This window comes from Homo sapiens, chromosome 3 (genome assembly GCF_000001405.40).
Source record: "Homo sapiens chromosome 3, GRCh38.p14 Primary Assembly".
NCBI lineage: Eukaryota > Metazoa > Chordata > Mammalia > Primates > Hominidae > Homo > Homo sapiens.
This window is the reverse complement of record NC_000003.12, coordinates 5,702,493-5,724,474: the sequence shown is the minus strand read 5'-3', so window position 1 is coordinate 5,724,474 and position 21,982 is coordinate 5,702,493. Positions and strand designations below refer to the sequence as shown.

Here is a 21,982-nt window from a genome sequence, read left to right as displayed (position 1 = left end):
TGCAATTATTTTACATAGGCCATATCATGTGTATTCGAGTGTAATCATAGGATAAATTTTTAGAGGTAGACTTGCTGGGTCAAAGGGTACACATACACATTTCAAATTTTGACATATACTACAAGCCCTTCACAGGGTTGTACAAGTGAGTGCTTCTTTCTCAGTAACTCACAACAAAATATATGTACCTTTTGGATTTCGTCAATATGATAGGTGAAGAATTAGATCTCAGCATGGTTTTATTCACACTGTTCTTATTGCAAGCGAGGTTTAACATCTTTTCAAAGGTTTAAGAGCAATTTTTATTTCCTTTTCTGTCATTTGTATATTTATACATTTTGGCCATTTAAAAAAATTGATATGTAACTCTTTCCATTATTAATTTCTAAGCCCTCTTTATATATTGGTAACATTGGCTCTGTGTCTATGATATGTGTTGAAAATATTCTAAATATGTTTTTCATTATTTTGCTTATTTTCTTCTGGGAATAGTGGGGCAAACAGAAGTTTATTTTTATCTCTTTATTTTTCATTTCACTTATTTTGTCGCTTTTTTATGACTTCTGAATTTTGAGTTCACATTAGGAAGGCCATCCTCATCCTGAGGTTTAAACACATTCTCCCACGTTTTTTATAGAAATTTGACAGTTTCCATTTTCATTCGTTTTACCACTTAAAACTTTTATCCATTGGAATTTTTCATAGTGTATGAAGTATGGACCCACATTTATTTTTTTTCTAGATGTCAACTCAGTTGTCCTAAGATCACTTATTAAATGGTCAGACTGGGCCGTGTATGGTGGCTTATGCCTGTAATCCCAGCACTTTGGGAGGCCCAGGCGGGCAGATCACCTGAGGTCAGGAGTTCAAGATCAGCCTGACCAACATGGTGAAACCTCGTCTCTACTAAAAATACAAAATTAGCCAGACGTGGTGGCACGTGCCTGTAATCCCAGCTACTAGGGAGGCTGAGGCAGGAGAATCGCTTGAACCCGGGAGGCAGAGGTTGCGGTGAGCCAAGATCATGCCATTGCACTCCAGCCTGGGCAAGAAGAGTAAAACTCCATCTCTAAATAAATAAATAGTCAGGCTTCCCCCCGTGGTTTGAAAAGCCACTTTTCTCAAACACTAATTTTGTGTTTAAATGCTTCTGTTCTTCGACTTTAAACTCTAGTCCATTGATATGTCAGCTCATGTGCCAGTATCACACTCTTAACGAAACTTTGTTGTACACTCTGATGTATAATAACACTTTTTATTTTGTAATATAAACTTTACAATACCTTGTCCAATTCAGAAAGAGAGAAACTCACCTATTGGTATTTTAACTGAAATCATGCCTAATTTAGTAGTCACTGAGAGAAGTTTGAGATCATTACCACATTCTTTCTACTCAAGGGTATAGTATGTATTCAATTTGTTCATGCTTTCTTCGAAAAGATCTTGTGTATTTCTTGTTAATTCCTTTGTATTTTATCTTCTGTGTTGCAATTAAGGAGAGTCTTCTTTGCAATATATTTTCTAACTGGCTTGTGTGAATATATGACAATTATTGATTTATATATACACTTTTTAATCCCAACAACTTGTTGAATTATTCTTAGAGTTGACTCTCTTGTATTTTCCAGGGATACAATTATTTCATCTGAAAATAAAGATATTTTATATGCTCCTAACACATTTTTTATATCTCTAACCTTGTTCTTGACCGGATTACATTAGCTAGCACTTCTAATGCAACATGAAGTACAGCACTGCAGTGATGGTACCTAATGCTGCCTGTTCCTGACTTCATGTGGGAAACCTTTCAGTGTTTCTCCAGTAGGGACCATGCTGGTTTATAATGTTTTATCAACTTAAAGAAGAATTCATATATGTTTATTGATTGTATTTATTCTGAATGAAAGTTGGATTTTATCAAATGCCTTTTCAGCATGCATGAAGAAAGTAATGATTTTTCTCTTTAGGTCATGACCAATGTGGTTAATATTAGGAAATCTTTTAATAGTGACTATTTATAAATATTGATTATTTACAAGGAGGTATTATTGCATTTGGTGAGCTATGGTATCATTTTTCTCTCTCTTCAACAATCTATGTCAGATTTCAGGAATAGTTTTGTATTCTGTCTTTTAAAACAAGTAAAATTTTCTGTTAATCTTTTCCTTGTGTTCTGAACCATATTCAACAGCATTGTAATTTTTCTTTCTTTTTTTTTTTTTTTTTTTTGAGACAGTCTTGCTCTGTCACTGAAGTGCAGTGACATGATCTTGGCTCAATGCAACCTCCGCCTCCCCAGTTCAAGTCATTCTCCTCCCTCAGCCTCCTGAGTAGCTGGGCTTACAGGCACATGCCACCACGCTGGCTAATTTTTGTATTTTTAGTAGAGATTGGGTTTTGCCATGTTGCCCAGGCTGATCTCTAACTCCTGGCCTCAAGTGATCCACCCACCTCAGCCTCCCAAAGTGCTGGGATTACAGGCATGAGCCACTGCGCCTGGCCAATTTTTCTATTCTTTAATAGTTTGGTAGCACTACTCTGTGAAACTATCCTGCTGCTTTTTTGTGAACATTTCCATCACATTTTTTACTACTTTTTATATGGAAATCACTCTGCCCTTATTACATATTTTTCCTGTGGACACTTTTAGCAAATATTTTTTTCTATCAAAAAGCCCATTTTAATTGTGTTCAGTTGTTACAAAAAAAAAAAAAAACTTTAAAAAATCCAGAAATATAGATGTTTCGTATGATTCTTCATGGAGACCCACTCTCATTGTTTCCTGAACCATCCTGGATCCAGATAGTTCTGCTGTCACCTAGTTCATCTATTTCCACAGTGAGTATTGAAAAAATGAGTATTAGTTTTTGCCTTTCACCATCAAGAAATATATCTTTTGATAGTTTCTGAGCTCTGTCAAAACGGAGCTCTTTCTCTTCTGCTTTTCTCTAGTTCTTTCCAGATGGTCTCTGCAGGAATGCAGTTGTTCTTGAAAGTCTTATCAATATTTTGGAGCTCTTTCCAGATCTGACCAAACAATGGAGTTTGTATCTTTGTTTCATATTTTTTCCTGAAGTTTTTGGATGATTTGGGGGATTGATTTTTTTCATTCTGTCTATGCATTTTTGTAGTGTTGAAATCATTGTGGGTTCTTTTTAAACTTGAAATAATTAGAATTTGTTTTAGAAAAATTTAAAGTATCTAGGAAAGAGTCTAAGACCATAAGACACAAACTCCATTTTAAAACAGAACAAGTCTAATAAAATGCCTCCTACCTACCTCCTCAAGTCCAGTATTTCTAGATTTACAGTGAATGGGTGGCAGGGCTTTAAACTGGACATTAAGAGAATAAGGAAAGGGAGTGGGACAGTTCCCACTATGTAATTATAAAGAAATTATAGGCTGTTTGAACACAATCTTCAGGTCTTAATAAAAATAACCTTTTTGGTACTCTGCTCGTACCCGCTCCCAGTCCCCAAGAGAAGAAAATCGTTGCCTCCCTGACGCTAATCAGTCTCCCAGCAGAGTAAGGCAATTACCCGCTTCTGCTATTCCCTAGGTACAGCTCCCAAGTAGCAGAAAATCTGCGATTCAATCTCTGGTCATGGAATGTGGGCTGTGCTTGCAGAGGTAAAATGGAATCACTCAGAAGTCAGGAAATGGGGAAGTATTAGTACATTTTATAAGGTGCCAGCAAGACATAAAAATTTCTTCACCCATAAAAGAGATTAGAAGCCACTTGGTGGGAACAAATGCATTAATCAGGTTTTCACAAAGGCCTATCAATCTCTGTGCACCCTATGCATTTCCTGCATAGCATGAACTAGCTGATTAATGGACCAGACTTTCATGGTTCCTCCCATCTCTTCTGCAGACAAAGGGAGGCCCAATACTTTCCAACAAATCAATAGATTCAGAATGTCCTGAGCTTTGACAGTTAGTCTTAAAAATTATAAACATGGGTTGCTAGATCTTCCAGAGATCACTAGGTTATCTTTTTGAAAAGGACACTCAACCCATTACTCAATATTTGTTGCATCGACTGGGGTAAGGACCCGGCAGGCAAAAGCAGATGTAAAGGTTGATATTTGTTGCTGCTAATGCTGCTGTTATCTTAACCTAACAAAGTAAAACTGCCAAGTTATGAATGAGGGAAGTTGGAGGTAATAAGCATACACTAAATCAGGAAAAGATTTTTTTCTTTTATGATTCACAGCAGGAATTCTTCTAAAGATCCTGCTTTTCTAATGCACTGAATTTTTATTTCAAAAAATCAAATATTTTTCAGAACCTCTCTATTTTTTATTATACTTTAAGTTCTGGGGTACATGTACAGAACATGCAAGTTTGTTACATAGGTATACACATGCCATGGTGGTTTGCTGCACCCATCAACTCATCATCTACATTAGGTATTTCTTCTAATGCTATCCCTCCACTAGCCCCCCATCTCCCAACAGGCCCTGGTGTGTGATGTTCCCCTCCCTATGTCCATGTGTTCTCATTGTTCAACTCCCACTTATGAGTAAGAGCATGAGGTGTTTGGTTTTCTGTTCCTGTGTTAGTTTGCTGAGAATGATGGTTTTCAGCTTCATCCATGTCCCTGCAAAGGACATGAACTCATCCTTTTTTATGGCTGCATAGTATTCCATGGTGTATATGTGCCACATTTTCTTTATCCAGTCTATCTTTGATGGGCATTTGGGTTGGTTCAGAACCTCTCTCTAACATGCATGTGAAATTCTAATTGTAGTATAAATTACCACTGGTTGGAAAAAACTATTTCTTTAAGTGTTGGAATCCAATCTGATTTTGGAACCATTAAAATCAATTCTGAATTCTGTACATGTTTCATCTTTACCAAAAACTTTTTTCTCTACTGTTTCTGTCTTTCTTAATGACAATGACATATTCCCAATTTTTCACACAGAAAACTACAGTCATCTTCTATGTGCCCATGTTTCCCAATTTGTTGTCAATTCCTAATGATTTTTTCCTCATATCACCAGTTTATTGCTGTTGCCATAAACCACATAATGTTTTGGGGTTTTTTTTTTGAGACAGAGTCTTGCTCTGTCATGGAGGCTGGAGTGCAGTGGCACAATCTCAGCTCACTACAATCTCCACCTCCCTGGTTCAGGCTATTCTTCTGACCCAGCCTCCCGAGTAGCTGCAGCTACAGGTGTGTGCCACCACACCTGGCTAATTTTTGTATTTTTATTAGAGATGGGGTTTCACCATGTTGGCCCAGCTGGTCTCAAACTCCTGACCTCAGGTGATCCACCTGCCTTGGCTTCCCAAACTGCTAGAATTACAGGCATGAGCCACACTGCCCAACCCATAAACCATGTAATGTTCCATTAGCATTCACTTTCATAGACCCTTTCTCACTGGCTTTTAGGCTTTCAGCATGGTCTAAATGTTGCCTATTTCAATTCCCCATCCAGGCTTCTGCGGCAGTTCCTATTTTCTGTTGTCCAAAGCCTCGGTGCCTAGACTTGACCTTCAAGTTCTCTAGGACTCATCCCCACTTCTTTCCAGCATCCTTCACTACTTTGTCTTACCTCTGCCATGCTATGCACTTACAGGCAGTATATGGTTTTCACTAAGGCTTCCCCATTAGAGGAAATTTTATAAAAGTTACGGTAATACTTGTTTTGCCATGAACCATGCAAATGCTTCTTACATACTTACCTGCGCCTAGGATGATTACAAGAAAGTGGGAAAGGAAAGGCAACACAATTTGCATTTAAATATTTCCTATGTTGCAGGTACTGAGACAGGATTAATATGTTTAATAAGTATATTCGGATTTCTGCACATATGTATAAAAATGGATACAATTTTAAAGTAAATAAGGCATCAGTATTTCCATTTATAGATAAGAAAACAAAGGCCCAAGGAGGTTGATTAATCCATGGTCGCACAACAAGATAGATTTGAGTGTATAGGTGCCTGTCTTATGCTAAATTTTGTCTCATTTTTATATCACCACACAGTCAGCCTATAGATGCGAGTTTCCCTTCCTTCTGCTCACTGGAAGTGACTTGTTCACGTTATCTACCTAACAATAAAATAATCATAACAGATCTTAAACTAATAGAAAGGGTTAAATGGCTTGCCAAGTAGTAGCCAATGAGAATCAAGTGCCCGACTTTCAGCTGAGGCCTCTCTTTCCCCAGTTGGATGCTACCTTGAAGTTTTGTGAATCCAGTGAAAATCAATCACAACATCTGTAATGTTTTGTCAAGTTAGGGAGGAATAAAAGATGTCAATCTGAAATCTATGAGCACCCTGACTCTGTTACAACCTTGGGCTGCATTTCGGAGAAAAATATACTACAGACCAGAGACTCCATCAAAAGATACATTCATCAATTGGGTATAACACTACTTACTGTCATCACACAATTTTGTTATTTGTTTTGGCTTACATTATTAAGGCAATTCTACTTACCTCCCTCCTCCCTTTGCCTGTGTAGACACCCAAGGAAAGAGTTAGGAAGAGTGTTCAGTAAATGGATTGCCACGGATAATTTAAATGATGCAACAAAAATTGACACTTACAAGTGTGAGCCCTTAACTTCATTAAATGTAGCTTTTCAATTGTCCAGGGAAAAGTGTGGTTTCAAAAAGTAAAAAGATTGAGTGACTGGAGTGTGGTGCTGATTCAATTACCAACGCAACGCAATGTAAACGATATTAAACATTTAAGGTCTAAGCCACTCCAAGCGATATCAAATACTGCCTGAGAATGTAAGTAAGCAAGCTCCCTAGTTATTACAAAATCATCCTTAAATGAAAAAGCAGGAATTCAGTAGAGTGAAAAATTATGTAATCACCCAACATATAGTCATTAAACTTTTATTTCTAGTAAGTAATTTTGGAGAGGAAAGGGGATAAAGTATATGAATTAGGAGTCTGAATCACTTGGCTCCCTGTATTAACTATAATGAAGAGAATAATTTGTTCTTTGTCAATAAATGTAATGGGCTATGACTTCAAATCCCTTGTGGGGAATAACTCTGTTTTATTGTTTATCTGCAGTGCGAAGACTCCCTCTGAAGACTTTATACAATATGTCATTCAAGCAGATGTAAAATGCACTCTGTAGAAGTGCTACCTGCACCTTCTTTGTAAAGAATAGCTTTCAGCAAAAGAAAACTATACAAATATTTGTCATACATTTAGTCCTAAGTAGCACTGACTGTGTGAGCAAATTATGAGCTAAACATGGACTCCCCTCAATACAGATGGAAATATGGGAAAAATCATCTGTAAGAAATGTCATTGCCTAAAATAAAACTTTTGAGATTCTATGTGAATTTATCCAAAAAAATTAAGTGATTTTAGCATTCAAATGGGGACATAGTAGCTTATCATGGCTTTGAAGAGATGCTCCTGGCCAGATGTTCTGGAAAAGGAAGAATGTTAGGATCTGAGATTGAAAGTAGCATGGCGGTAATAAGGTCATTGTTTAAAGGGGGTAGATCTAATGAATCACACCAGGAATCTAGGGATGCATTATCGAACAATAGAGAGAATGTTCTATCTCTGTCTACAAGTTACTCTTTTAATTATCCAAATGAATTGATTTGATGGAATCAACCTAAATACCCATCAATGATAGACTGGATAAAGAAAATGCGGTACATACATACCATGAAAAACTATGCAGCCATAAAAAGGAACGAGATCATGTCCTTTGCAGGGACATGGATGGAATTGGAAGCCAATAGTCTCAGCAAACTAACATAGGAACAGAAAACCAAACACTGCATGTTCTCAGTTATAAGTGGGAGCTGAATGATGAGAACACATGAACATATGGGGAGGAACAACACACACCGGGGCCTGTCAGTGGGGTAGGAGAAGGGAGAGTATCAGAAGGAATAGCTAATGGATGCTGGACTTAAGACCTATGGATGGGATGATCTGTGCAGCAAACCACTATGGCACGTGTTTACCTATGTAACAAAGCTGCACATCCTGCACATGTATCCCAGAACTTAAGAGTTGAAGAAAAAAAAAATTGGTCTGAAGCACACTCAGATATACAGAAGTCCAGAATCGTGGGTATGCTAGTCCACGTGCATTGCTATAAAGAATACCTGAAGCTGGGTAATTTAATTTATACAGAAAAGGGGTTTATTTCAGCTCATAGTTCTGCAGGCTATACAGGCAGCATGACAATACCATCTGCTCCTGGTGAGGGCCTTGGGAAGCTTGCAATCATGGTGAAAGACAAAGGGGGAGCAGGAATGTCACATGGTGAAAAATGGATGAGAGAGGGAAGGACGTTCTAGGCTCTTTTAAACAAGATCTCATAAGAAGTCACTCATTACCATGAGGATGGGCCAAGTAATTAATGAAGGATCCACCTCCATGATCCAAACACCCCTCACCAGGTTCCAACTCCAACACTGGGGACTACATTTTAACATGAGGTTTTGAGGGGATAAATTTCCAAACTATATAATTCTGTCCTGGCCTCCCAAATCTCATGTCTTATCACATCGAAAATATAATCATCCCCTCTTAATAGTTCCCCAAAGTCTTAACTGGTTCCAGCATCAAACCAAAAGTCCTATGTCCAAAGTCCAAAGTCTCATCTGAGACTCATCTTCCTTTCACCTATGAGCCTGTAAAATCAAAACCAAGTCATTTGCTTCCAAGATACAATGGGAGTATAGGCATTGGGTAAGCTTTCCCATTCCAAAAGGGACAAATCATCCAAAAGAAGGGGGCAGTAGGCCCCACATAATTCAGAAACCCAGCATGACAGACATTAAACCTGAAAGCTCCAAAACAATCCTTGACTTTATCTCCTGCATCCATGGCTCACTGGTGCAAAGGGTGAACTCCCAAGGTTTTGGGCACGTCTGCCCCTATGGCTTTGCAGGGTATGGCCCCTGTGGCTGCTCTCATGGGCTGAAGTTAAGTGCCTGTGGCTTTCCCAGGCACAGGGTGCAAGCTGCTTGTGGCTCTACCATTCTCAGGTTTAGAGGGCAGAATCCTCCTTCCCACAGCTAGACTAAGCATGTCCTCCCTGGTGGGACACTGTGGGGGTATTACAACCTCACATTTCCCCTTGGCAATGCCTTAATAGAGTCTCTCTGAGGGCTCTGCCCCTGCAGCATGCTCTGCCTAGGCACCCAGGGTTTCCAATACATCTTCTGAAATCTAGGTGGAAGCTGCTAAGCCTTCTTCACTCTTGCTTCTGCACACCGGCAGAGTTAACACCATATAGAAGCCACCAAGTCTTATGGCTTACACTCCAAGCTGTACTTGGGGCTCTTTGAACTTCAACTAGAGCTGGAGCAGCATGTATGTTGGGAGTAGTGTTCTGAGGCTGTGCTAGACAGTGGGGTCCCAGGCCTGGCCCCTGAAACCATTCTTTCTTCTGAAGCCTCTGGGCCTGGGATGGGAGGGACTATCCTGAAGACTTTTGGAATGCCTTTGAGGCCTTTTAAACTCTTATTTCCTCCTGAGTCATGCTAATCTCTCTAGCAAGTGGTTGCTCCACAGTCCTCTTGAATTTCTCTCCTGAAAATGCTGTTTCCTTCTCTTAATACAAGGCCAGGCTGTAAATTCCCCAAACTTTAATATTTTGCTTCCCTTTAAACTATATATTCCAACTTTAAGTCATGTGTTTGTTCCCTGTATCTGATCACAGGCTATTAGAAGCAGCCAGGCAACATCTTGAATGCTTTGCTACTGAGAAATTTCTTCTATCAGATACCCTAAATCATCACTTTCACAAAGCCCTAGGACATGGGCACAATACAGCCAAATTCTTTGCTGTGGCATAGCAAGGGTTACCTTTGCTCTAATTCCCAGTAAATTTCTCATTCCATCTGAGACCTCCTCAACCTGGCCTTCACTGTCCATATTTCTAACAGTATTTTGGTCATAACCATTTAAAAAGTCTCTAAAAAGTTCCAAACTTTCTCTCAACTTCCTTTTTCTGAGCCCTCTAAACTCTTCCAACCTCTGCCCATTACACAGTTCCAAAGACATCTCCACATAATCAGGTATCTTCATTGCAATGCCCGACTCCTTGTACCAATTTTCCATGTTAGTACATTTGCATTACTAAAAGGAATACCTGAGGCTATGTAATTCTTAAAGAAAATTGGTTTACTTGGCTCACAGAACTGTAGGCTGTACAGAAATCATGGCTCCAGTGTTCGCTCCTGGTGAGGGCCTCAGGAAACTTCCAATCATGGCAGAAGGCAAAGGGGGAGCAGGCATCTCACATGGCAAGAAAGGGAGCAAGAGAGAGAGGAGGAATTTCCAGGCTTTTAAAACAACCAGATCTCATGTGAACTCATAGAGTGAGAACTCACTCATTACCATAAGGATGGCACCAAGCCACTCATGAGAAATCCACCCCCATCATGAAAACATCTCCCACCAGGCCCCACCTCCAATACTGGGGATTACATTTCAACATGAGATTTGGAGGGGACAAGCATCCAAACCATATAGTGAAGTAAGCTATCTGATTCTTCAAGCCAGAAATTTGCATCACAAGGGGGGTTCTGTAATAATGAGAAGCTACCTCACCATAGGGAGCTGCCAAACTTGAAGTATAAACAACAGATAATTCTGGAATGATAAGGCCTGGGGAAAAATAGAGGAATCAGCAACATCTGTCTAGTAAATGTTATTATGAAATTGCTTTTTCAGGCAAGAAATGTCTACATTTAAATCACAAAATAACTAGGACTGTATATATTTTATCTCCTCAAAATTGATCATGAACATGATATACAGTAACTCAAGTACCAAGTATTCTCAATTAACCAAAATAATGAATCTTCATTAATTCATTCATTCATGAACTCAGCCAGTATTTATTGAGTACCTTCTATTAACTTAGCACTTGGATGGTAACGAAAAAGATAAAAACCTTTACTCTCTTGGCGTCACATGCTATCACCTTACTCATCCTAGAGAAACCAGTTACTGCAACTAGACTTAAATCAATATGTTTTTTTCTTAAGAACTGTCTATTAACAATACCTGACTGATTGCTGAAGATTTCGTAATTCCCAAGTTCTAAGAACATTCATTCAGAAACAGCAACTGATTACTAACCCTTCTAATGCATTCAGAGCTCATTCATATTTTACAAAGCTAGCTAACAAAAACATTTCCTCCTCAGACCCAGAAGTCTTCTACCTATAAACACAGGAACCAGGGTGATCAGAAAAAAATAGAACAGATATAACAATAAAGTCTCTCAACTCAGCACCAAAAGCTTTATCTTTTAGGCTAATAGATAATTTTCTTTCTAAATAATCGTAATGAAAAGTCTCAGCAACAGCTTATTAAAAGCTTTCTAAAGGAAGAGAGAAAGAGAGAGAAAAACAATGGAACAAGAGACATAGAGACAGAAACAGGAAAAGAGAGACACATAGAGAGGCCAACAAAGATAAAGACAGAACAAACCAAGCCCATCCCACGTACAGCTATAAGAGAATTGGATATAGTTTTAGACCAGTAGGTATTACGGGAGAGGGGGTATCAGACTCTTCAACTGCAAATTAAAAGTAGTCTACCCACACATGCTGAAGTAAAAATGGGTATTTATCTGTTAACATAATAATAATGTCAGGAATATTGTTGGTTTCAGATACAGCTGTTCTCAAACCCTAAATAATGTAATCTTGATTCAGTTTCTCTCATCCTTTCAGTTCAGCCTTCCAGGTTGTTGGCTTCATCCTCAAAGAAGTTCCACCACTGTGGCTCAAGGCCACAACAGCAGCTCCAGACCTTATCTCCTCTTTATTCAAAGTACAGCAAACCATGAGAGTCTGTTGGCCAGGATTCCTAGGAAGAGGGTCCACTCTATCTTCTTAACTCTGATCAGACCAGGTTCCTCTATGGTCGGAGAGGCACAATGCTCTGACTTAGTTCTATGTCATACATGTTCCTACCCCTGCCCAAAACCGTTTCAGAATTCTTGGGCTGAGCATGCGGGAGGCAGTGACTGTCCATAGAGAAATCAGAGAACAGTTACGAAAAGAGGAAGAAATGGATGCTGAAAGGTCAAAAAAATAATTAACATCCTCTAGAGATAGAATTTATCTGCACGTAGATAGGAAAACTAAATTAAGCTTCCTTTAAATTTAGGCTCCTTGGAAGGTAAGAAACAATGAAGACAGAGAGATGACTGGATGGAAAAAGAAAGAGATTAAGTTAAAACTATGATATGGGGAGTCAGGCCTGCAGCTTGCACAACTATGCCTGTGTGAATTATAAAAAGGTAGCTGCTCTGGGTGGACAAATTCAAACCTCACCCAGTCTGAGCAGATGAATTACCAAAAGGCATTCCTTCCTATGGCCTTTCTCCACAGCCAGCCAAGTGGAGGAAGCACTGGCAGGGTTACATCACCTCCTTTGACCAAGCACCTTCTTGCAGTACATAAACTGACAATCAGTGAGGTGGCCCTGCCAGGAATCTCTCTCCAGAGGAAAATTAATTGTTATTAAATTGGGAGGAAGTTTTATGTTTCATACTTTCAGGACACGAAGTTTTGAAGAAATAAAAGCATTGCATGAGACCTGATATTTGGGCATCTGGGGACCTGCTAGGCTATTACAGAGGTATGCATCATGTTCTGCCAAATCCAAGACACCACTGACAGTAAGAGGTACCATTCATTACCTTGTATAGCACTGAGAAAGAAAACAAAGCTGGCAATTAGACTGTGGCTTAGTACTTATTGTAAGATGCAACAAATTATCACAGATATTAAAAAAGAAAAAGTACTGATATGGTTTGGCTCTGTGTCCCCACCCAAATCTCATCTCAAATGTAATCTCCACTTGTCAAGGGAGGGCCCTGGTGGAAGGTGACTGGATCATGGGGGCTGTTTACCCCATGCTGTTCTCATGATAGTGAGTGAATTCTTATGAGATCTGATGGTTTTATAAATGGCAGTTTCCCCTGCTCTCCCCCTCCTGCCACCTTATAAAGAAAGTGCTTCCCCTTCAACTTCTGCCATGATTATAAGTTTCCTGAGGGCTCTCCAGCCATGTGAAACTGTGACTCAACTAAACCTCCTTTCTTTATAAATTATGCAGTCTCAGATATTCTTTAGAGGAGTGTGAAAGCAGACTAATACAGGAAATTGGTACTGGTAGAGTGGGGTACTGTTTTAAAGATAACCTGAAAATGTGGAAGTGACTCAGGAATTGGATAACAGGTGAGGACTAAACTCTGATTTTTCTTATCTGGCCTAAATTCCTATCTAAGGAGTCTGGGGACTCATACCCTACAAATCATAAATTCTCATCAGATGGGTTTCATTTAACCCTGTATATTGTGACTAACTTTCCCATCTGACTCTGGCATAACAAGGAAGAAAATCAAAATGTTTTACCCCAAAATGTATTTCCTTGCTATACCCTGAAATTGCCCTGTGAAGTCTCTTACGGGAAAAATCCACATTCTATAGCGAATCCCCTTTCCCTTTTTTTTTTCTTTCCTTCCTTTCCAGATCCAACAGATAATCAGCTAAGAGCCAGGCACCCTTTTAAGGCAGATAAGAAATATTTTACAACGTGTTCTCTCTGAAGTCTGCTATCTGAGAGCTTCTTCTGCACAATAAAACTTGGTCTGCACAATCTTTTATCTTAACCTGAACACTTCATTTCTATTGATCCCAGGTCTTCAGATACACTCAACCAATTGTCAACCAGAAAATCTTTAAATTTACATATAGCCTGGAAGCCCATGCTTTGAGTTGTCCCACCTTTCTGAACCACACCATGTATTTCGTAAATGTATTTGATTGATGTCTCATGCCTTCCTAAAATATGTAAAATCAAGCTGTACCCTGAGCACCTTGAGCACATGTTCTCCGGACCTCCTGGGGGCTGTGTCACGAGCCATGGTCACTCATATTTGGCTCAGAATAAATCTCTTAAAATACTTTACAGAGTTTGACTCTTTTCATCAACACAGGCAGAGGCTGGAACAGTTTGGAGGGCTGAGAAGAAGACAAAAGACAGAGATATGGGAAAGTTTGGAACTTCCTGGAGACCTGTTGAATGGCTTTGACCAAAATGCTGATAGTGATATCGACAATGAAGTCCAGGCTGAGGTGGTCTCAGATGGAAATGAGGAACTTGTTGGGAACTGGAGTAAAATTGACTCTTGCTTTGCTTTAGCAAAGAGACTGTAGACATTTTTTCCCTGCCCCAGAGATCTGTGGAACTTTGAACTTGAGAGAGATGATTCAGGGTATCTGATAGAAAAAATTCCTAAGCCACAAAGCATTCAAGGAGTGACCTGGATTATTCTGAAAGCATTCAGCTTTATGCATTCACAAAGCCATGGTTTGAAATTGGAACTTGTGTTTAAAAGGGAGGCAGAGCATAAAGATTTGGAAAATTTGTAGCCTCACCATGTGGTAGAAAAGAAAAAACCATTTTCTGGGGAGGAATTCAAGCCTGCTGCAGAAATTTGCATAAGTAAGGAGAAGTCAAATGTTAATAGTGGAGACAATGGGGGAAAATGTCTCCAGGGCATGTCAAACATCTTCCTGACAGCCCCTCCCATCACAAGCCCAGAGGCCTAAGAGGGGAAAACGGCTTCATGGGCAGGGCCCAGGGCCCCCACTGCTCTGTGCAGCCTCAGGATTTGGTGCCCTGTGTCCCAGCCACTCTGGCTTCAGCCATGGCTAAGGGGTCAAGGTACAGCTTGGGCGGTTGCTTCAAAGGGTGCAAGTCCCAAGCTTTGGTGGCTTCCACATGGTGTTGGGCCTGCAAGTATGCAAAAGACAAGAGTGGAACAGTTACAGTAGTATGAAAATGGACTAATACAAGTATGGATATTAGCACTAATAAAATATGATTTAAAAAAGAAGGCAAGAAGACCACCATCAATGAAAATAAAGCATCTTCTAAATTAGGCAGGCAAAAGTTGCAAATAAGTACGGGGTATGATTCTGGTCTTCAAGAAATGTTAAATAATTAATCAGAACTATCAAACTAGGGGGCAATGAAAGGCCTAAAATGAAATTCAAACTCCTGTGTGTTCGATAAATGTGAATTCTTCCAAGGAGAAGTGTAACAACTTTCATCAGACAAATTCTCATTAGAACAATTTCTTTGTGACTCTAAGAAGTTGAAAAATCACGCCTATAAATAGTCAGTGCAAATTATTTTGAAAACATAACCATTTAAATCACAGGTAAACCAGATGTTTAACACCAAAGGCAAAAGAGGAGGAATTAGAATCCTTCTGTAACAATGACAACATCAACAATGATGGCTGATATTTATTGCATGCTTATTGTATGCCTCACCACTATTTTATGGCTTCTCTGTATATTATCTCATCAATATGTTTAGATTACAGTAGAAATTATATTCCCAAATGGAAATTATAGGAAGGCTTGACTAAGTTACAACCATGGTAGTTTTCTTTCAGACCCTGGAACTCTTCATGCTCACTTTCTACCTTGGGGCCACTGTAAACATGTTAGATATGAGTTCTAAATTTCTTTTCAAAGAATCAATATGTCAGTATGTTCAATTCTTTGCCTTCTACTTTTAAACTGAACTTCCTCCTAAAGCAACCTTTTTTGATTATCTGCTCCATCCTGACTCATTCCGAATACCTGCTACCTGCTCCACCCTAACTTATTCTTCACCCTGCATAACCATTTTTCCCACCAAGACACTCATCCCATCACTTTCTTTAAATTAGCCAATCAGAATTAGTTTAGCCTGGTACAGTCTAACCTAGCCAATAGGGGAACGACACAGCAGCACCGGCCCACGTGCATCAGGGATAAGAACCCATTCCCCTCCCTTGTCCAAGTCTGTGCTCACCATTGCTCCATCTGTAAGGGCACACCCTTCTATAGAAGTAACTTCCCTTGCTGAGAATTACAAAGAAAATTTTGTATTTGAGTGTTATTTCTTTTGCAGCACCAAAGCTTTATTGATAACAATTTGGGGGCTCTCCCACGATTACATTCCCCTCTGGGGGCGATCTCTTTTCTTGTTCTCTCTTGTGAGGAGGTGCACCCCACCCCCTTGCAGCGGCCTCAGGGGTGAGAAATCAAGACCCACCCAGTGCAAGGAATAACCCAAGCTCTCAGCAATGCAAAAATAAATAAATAAATAAAATAAAATAAAAATGGCCAGCAGCCTAGCTTAAAGGATCCTCACATACTGCGGTGACAACTCTGTGCCCAGACCAAGGAAGGAGAAGCCACAGGAGCCAGTAAAGTACTTCCTTGGTGGTCAGGACTAAGGAAAAAGCCATGGGGCAGTAAAGCATTCCTTGGTTAGGACATACCAAGGAAAGACAAATTGCAGGGGTGGTAAAGCATTCTTTAGTTGGGACTAGGGAAAGAAAGCCATGGGGGGGTGGTGAACTATTCCTTAGTTGGGATGTCTTGGAGGTTAAAAAGAGGTGAGAAATCCCCATGGTGGGGGGTTGAACCACAGAAAGAGGTGAGAAATCCCCACGACAGGGGGGTTGAACCTCACAAAGAGGTGAGAAATCCCCAGGAGGGAGGGTTGAACCTCAGAAGGAGGTGAGAAATCCCCATGAATGGGGGTTGAACCTCACACTAACCTCCGGTAGTAAGAAAAATATTCAGAACTCCCCTTTCCTTTCCTTTAAGGGAAGAAAGAGTAGCTCCAATCCCACCAGTCCCTCAAGGGGAAGGGGAAGGAGAGGGGAGAACAGCAGCATTAACAGCTGGCAGAGACAGGGAAAGAACAGCAGAGAAGAAGGGGGGGGAGGGAAGACAAGGAGAGGGGAAAGAGAGAGAGGCAGAGAGAGAAACAGAAGCAAAGAGAGGAAGAGACAAAGAGGGAGTCAAAGAGAGAGAGAGAGACAAGGAGAAGCAGAGAGAGAGAGGAAGAGACAGAGAGATGAAGAGGGAGTCAAAGAGACAGAGACAGAAAGTCAAGAGAGAAAGAGAAAAAGAGAGATATAATAGTAAAGAGAAAACACTGTACCCTATTCCTTTAAAAGCCAGGGTAAACTTAAAACCTATAATTGACAACTGAAGATCTTCTCCTTGACCCTGTAACACTTCAATACCACCTTGTTGTCAGTATAAACAAGGGTGTAGCCCAAAAGCACTAAGGCCACTGACAACCCGTAGCCTTCCTATCAAAAATCCTTAACCCAGTAACCCATGGATGGCCCAAATGCATTCAATCTGTAGTGGCAACTGCTTTGCTAGCAGAAGAAAGTAGAAAAATAACTTTTAGAGGAGACCTCATTATGAGCACACCTTACCAGTTCAGAACGATCCTAAGTCAAAAAAAAAAAAAAAAAAAAAAAAGCAAAAGGTAGCTTACTAACTCAAAAATCTTAAAATGTGGGGCTATTCTGTTAGAAAAAGATGATTTAACATTAACCACTAGTAATTCCCTTAACTCACCAGGCTTCCTAACAGGGGATGTAAATCTTAATTAATTACCATACAAAGGTCCAACCTGACCTAGGAGGAACTCCCTTCAGGACTGGAGGATAGATGGTTCTTCCTGGGCGATTGAGGGAAAAAGACACAATGGGTATTCCGTAATTAATAGGGAAACTTTTGTAAAAGCAGAGTTGGGAAAATTGCCTAATTCTTGGTCGGCCCAAAGGTGGGAGCTGTTTGCACTCAGCCAAGCCTTAAAGTACCTACAGAACCAGGAAGGAACCATCTATACCAATTCTAAGTTAATTTGGACTAAACAAGGTCTTATTAATAGCAAAGGATCATTGAAATCCCAAACTTACAAGGTTTTCAACAAAACAAAAGATTGCTAAAAGTTAACAGTGTAACATGTATTATCCTAACTTCTAATCTGGTGGCCTTAGGCAGTCTAGTCCACAGATATGAAGGAAGTTCACTTTGGAAAAGAATGGTTATCATCTTTGGGAAAAAAAAAAATGGGGTTGGGGGAGAATTTATGTAAAAAGAATGTTATATGGTAAATTCTTGTCCTAAAATAAATTAACCGGTTGTTTGAAGAAAGAGATGTTAGAAAAGGCCTTCGACAAAATTCAGCAGCCCTTCATGCTAAAAACTCTCAATAAACTAAGTATTGATGGGATGTATCTCAAAGTCATAGGAGCTATTTATGACAAACCCACAGCCAATGTCATACTGAATGGGCAAAAACTGGAAGCATTCGCTTTGAAAACTGGCACAAGACAGGGATGTCCTCTCTCACCACTCCTATTCAACATGGTGTTGGAAGTTCTGGCCAGGGGAATCAGGCAGGAGAAACAAATAAAGGTTATTTAATTAGGAAAAGAGGAAGTCAAATTGTCCCTGTTTGCAGATGACATGATTGAATATTTAGAAAACCCCATCATCACAGCCCAAAAGCTCCTTAAGGTGATAAGCAACTTCAGCAAAGTCTCAGGATACAAAATCAATGCGCAAAAATCATAAGCATTCCTATACACCAATAACAGACAAACAGAGAGCCAAATCATGAGTGAACTCCCATTCACAATTGCTTCAAAGAGAATCAAATACCTAGGAATCCAACTTACAAGGGATGTGAAGGACCTCTTCAAGGAGAACTACAAACCACTGCTCAACGATATAAGAGGACACAAATAAATGGAAGAACATTCCATACTCATGGATAGGAAGAATCAATATCATGAAAATGGCCATACTGCCCAAGGTAATTTATAGAGTCAATGCCATCCCCATCAAGCTACCAATGACTTTCTTCACAGAATTGGAAAAAACTACTTTAAAGTTCATACGGAACCAAAAAAGACCCTGCATTGCCAAGACAATCCTAAGCCAAAAGAACAAAGCTGGAGGTATCACACTGCCTGACTTCAAACTATACTACAAGGCTACAGTAACCAAAACAGCATGGTACTGGTACCAAAACAGAGATATAGACCAATGGAACAGAACAGAGCCTTCAGAAATAATACCACACATCTACAACCATATGATCTTTGACAAACCTGACAAGAACAAGAAATGGGGAAAGGATTCCCTATTTAATAAATGGTGCTGGGTAAACTGGCTAGCCATATGTCAAAAGCTGAAACTGGATCCCTTCCTTACATCTTACACAAAAATTAATTCAAGATGGATTAAAGACTTAAATATTAGACCTAAAACCATAAAAACCCTAGAAGAAAACCTAGCCAATACCATTCAGGACATTGGCATGGGCAAGGACTTCATGACTAAAACACCAAAAGCAATGGCAGCAAAAGCCAAAATTGACAAATGGGATCTAATTAAACTAAAGAGCTTCTGCACAGCAAAACAAACTACCATCAGAGTGAACAGGCAACCTACAGAATGGGAGAACATTTTTACAATCTACCCATCTGACAAAGGGCTAATATCCAGAATCTACAAAGAACTTAAACAAATTTACAAAAAAAAAATCAAACACCCCATCAAAAAGTGGGTGAAGGATATGAACAGACACTTCTCAAAAGAAGACATTTATGCAGCCAACAGACACATGAAAAAATGCTCATCATCACTGGCCATCAGAGAAATGCAAAGCAAAACCACAATGAGATATCATCTCACACCACTTAGAACGACGATCATTAAAAAGTCAGGAAACAAACAGGTGCTGGAGAGGATGTGGAGAAATAGGAACACTTTTACACTGTTGGTGGGACTGTAAACTAGTTCAACCATTGTGGAAGACAGTGTGGTGATTCCTCAGGGATCTAGAACTAGAAATACCATTTGACCCAGCCATCCCATTACTGGGTATATACCCAAAGGATTATAAATCATGCTGCTATAAAGACACATGCAGACGTATGTTTATTGCAGCACTATTCACAATAGCAAAGGCTTGGAACCAACCTAAATGTCCATCAATGATAGACTGGATTAAGAAAATGTGGCACATATACACCATGGAATACTATGTAGCCATAAAAAAGGATGAGTTCATGTCCTTTGTAGGGACATGGATGAAGCTGGAAACCATCATTCTGAGCAAACTATTGCAAGTACAGAAAACCAAACACCACGTGTTCTCACTCATAGGTGGGAATTGACCAATGAGAACACCTGGACACAGGATGGGGAACATCACACACCGGGCCTGTTGTGGGGTGGGGGGATGGGGGAGGGACAGCATTAGGAGATATACCTAATGTAAATGACGAGTTAATGGATGCAGCACACCAACATGACACATGTATACATATGTAACAAACCTGCACGTTGTGCACATGTACCCTGGAACTTAAAGTATAATTTTAAAAATAATAATAAAAAAAAAAAAATAAAGGGATGTTAGCAACAAGTCAAAAAGTTGAGGCATGTGAAAGAATTGTCCATGAAAGTTGTGAAAAAAAAATGTGTGTTATAAAAAGGAATTTATGCAAGTAATGTTGTATAATTTTAAAGTAATTAGGCCTCCTGAGTGTAAAACTATTGAAGAAACAGTTTATGTGCAAGATGTATAAGGAAAGTAAAATAAACTTTTGGTAAAAGGATTATAAGGAGGCATAAGAATGTGGATTTTTACCTACAATAAAAGGTTAAAAAAATTTGTTTGGAAGGGTTAAGCAAGTTTTAAAACATTAATTGTAAAGGAAATTCTGTGTGTAAACATACTGGCTAAAGTTAAAAGGGTATCATCCAGTTTTACTGTCAACTGGACATTAAAATAAAAGCACAACGGGTTTTTCTTAAAGTGCTAACCTGCTCTTTAACAAAAATTAGAAAAGGTTAAAAAGAGTCTATAAAAATCTTACCTTAAGGTCAGACGTTAAAATTGGATAAATATGTCTACAAGGTTTTATTAAAATTGAGTTTAACATTGATAGCACACTAATGTAAGGGTGAAATTCAGCTTAACTGGTATAAAAATCATACAGGAAGCATTGTCAAATATAAAATGGTGTTTGGCTTTCTGTGGTCTAAAAACTAATAAAAATAGGTGCTAAAGGAAATTTCTCAGTAAGAACACACCAAGGACTATGAAGTCCACTGCTGATGTCCCCAAATTTTTTTAAAAAAGATCAATTTCTTAGAAATGTTATACTTGGTTTATCTTCCACTTTCCTTTCTCTCAAGACTAAAAGTCTTTTAGCACAGGTACCACCCCTAGAATTTCCAGTAAACCAGCACCATCCTGAGGATGACATTCTCATCAAAGGGGAGAAAGAAAGAAAACTAAAGCCAGCCTGGGAAGGATCCTACCTTGTGCTGCTAACCACTGAGACTGCTGTTCATACAGCAGAAAGGGGATGGACTCACCACACCCAAGTCAAGAAAGCGCCACCCACTCTCGAGTCATAGGCCATGGTCCCAGGGGAAAACCCTACCAAACTAAAGCTAAGAAAAATTTAACTCTCTTTCATCTATTTTATTCCTCTTTCTTCTTTCCTCACTCTATTGCTGACCATCTAGTTGTAACACAACCAAGTCAATTTCGCCTCAAACTACCGCATTGAATGCTTGCCTTGTTATACCCTGTGGGGACTCGCCAAGTCAAAGACTGCTCTCTACTTCAGAAAAGTACCTCTGTCCCTTGTGACTCTCCTCAGACTGGACCTTAGTAAATTGGGACCATTTAATCCGGGGAGATTTCGATAAAGACCTCAGTGTCAATGAGGAGTCTTGCCCCCTAATGTAGAGCTTTTATGCTGTCATTGGACCAACATTCTGTGGACCACTAAAGAGCAAGGATGGACTGCCCCAACTGGTTTTTGTAATTTCCTAAAACCATACGTTCATTTTACTAGAGGATTGTAGAAGTTAAAGACTTAAAACAAACTTTGGCAATTAAGACAGCATACCAAGATGCAAATGCCTGGTTGGAATGGCTCAAATATTCCATCTGCACGTTAAACAAAAGCAATTGTTATGCTTGTGTGCATGGCAGGCCTGAGGCCCAAATTGTCCCCTTTCCACTAATCTGGTCCTCCAGTTGACCAGGTGTGGGCTGCATGGTAGCTCTTTTCCAGGATTGTACAGCCTAGAGCAACA

At 39.5% G+C, this 21,982-nt stretch overlaps 2 annotated features.

Annotated features, from left to right (window-relative positions):
* Positions 14,186 to 14,685: an enhancer, noted in NCBI's record as "OCT4-NANOG-H3K4me1 hESC enhancer chr3:5751477-5751976 (GRCh37/hg19 assembly coordinates)". NCBI's record gives its function as "activates a minimal SCP1, AML or CMV promoter by ChIP-STARR-seq in primed H9 embryonic stem cells {active_cell/tissue: H9 hESC(primed)}" and the evidence as "EXISTENCE:reporter gene assay evidence [ECO:0000049][PMID:30033119]".
* Positions 16,454 to 16,513: an enhancer, noted in NCBI's record as "active region_19388". NCBI's record gives its function as "activates an Ori minimal core promoter by ATAC-STARR-seq in GM12878 lymphoblastoid cells {active_cell/tissue: GM12878}" and the evidence as "EXISTENCE:reporter gene assay evidence [ECO:0000049][PMID:35858748]".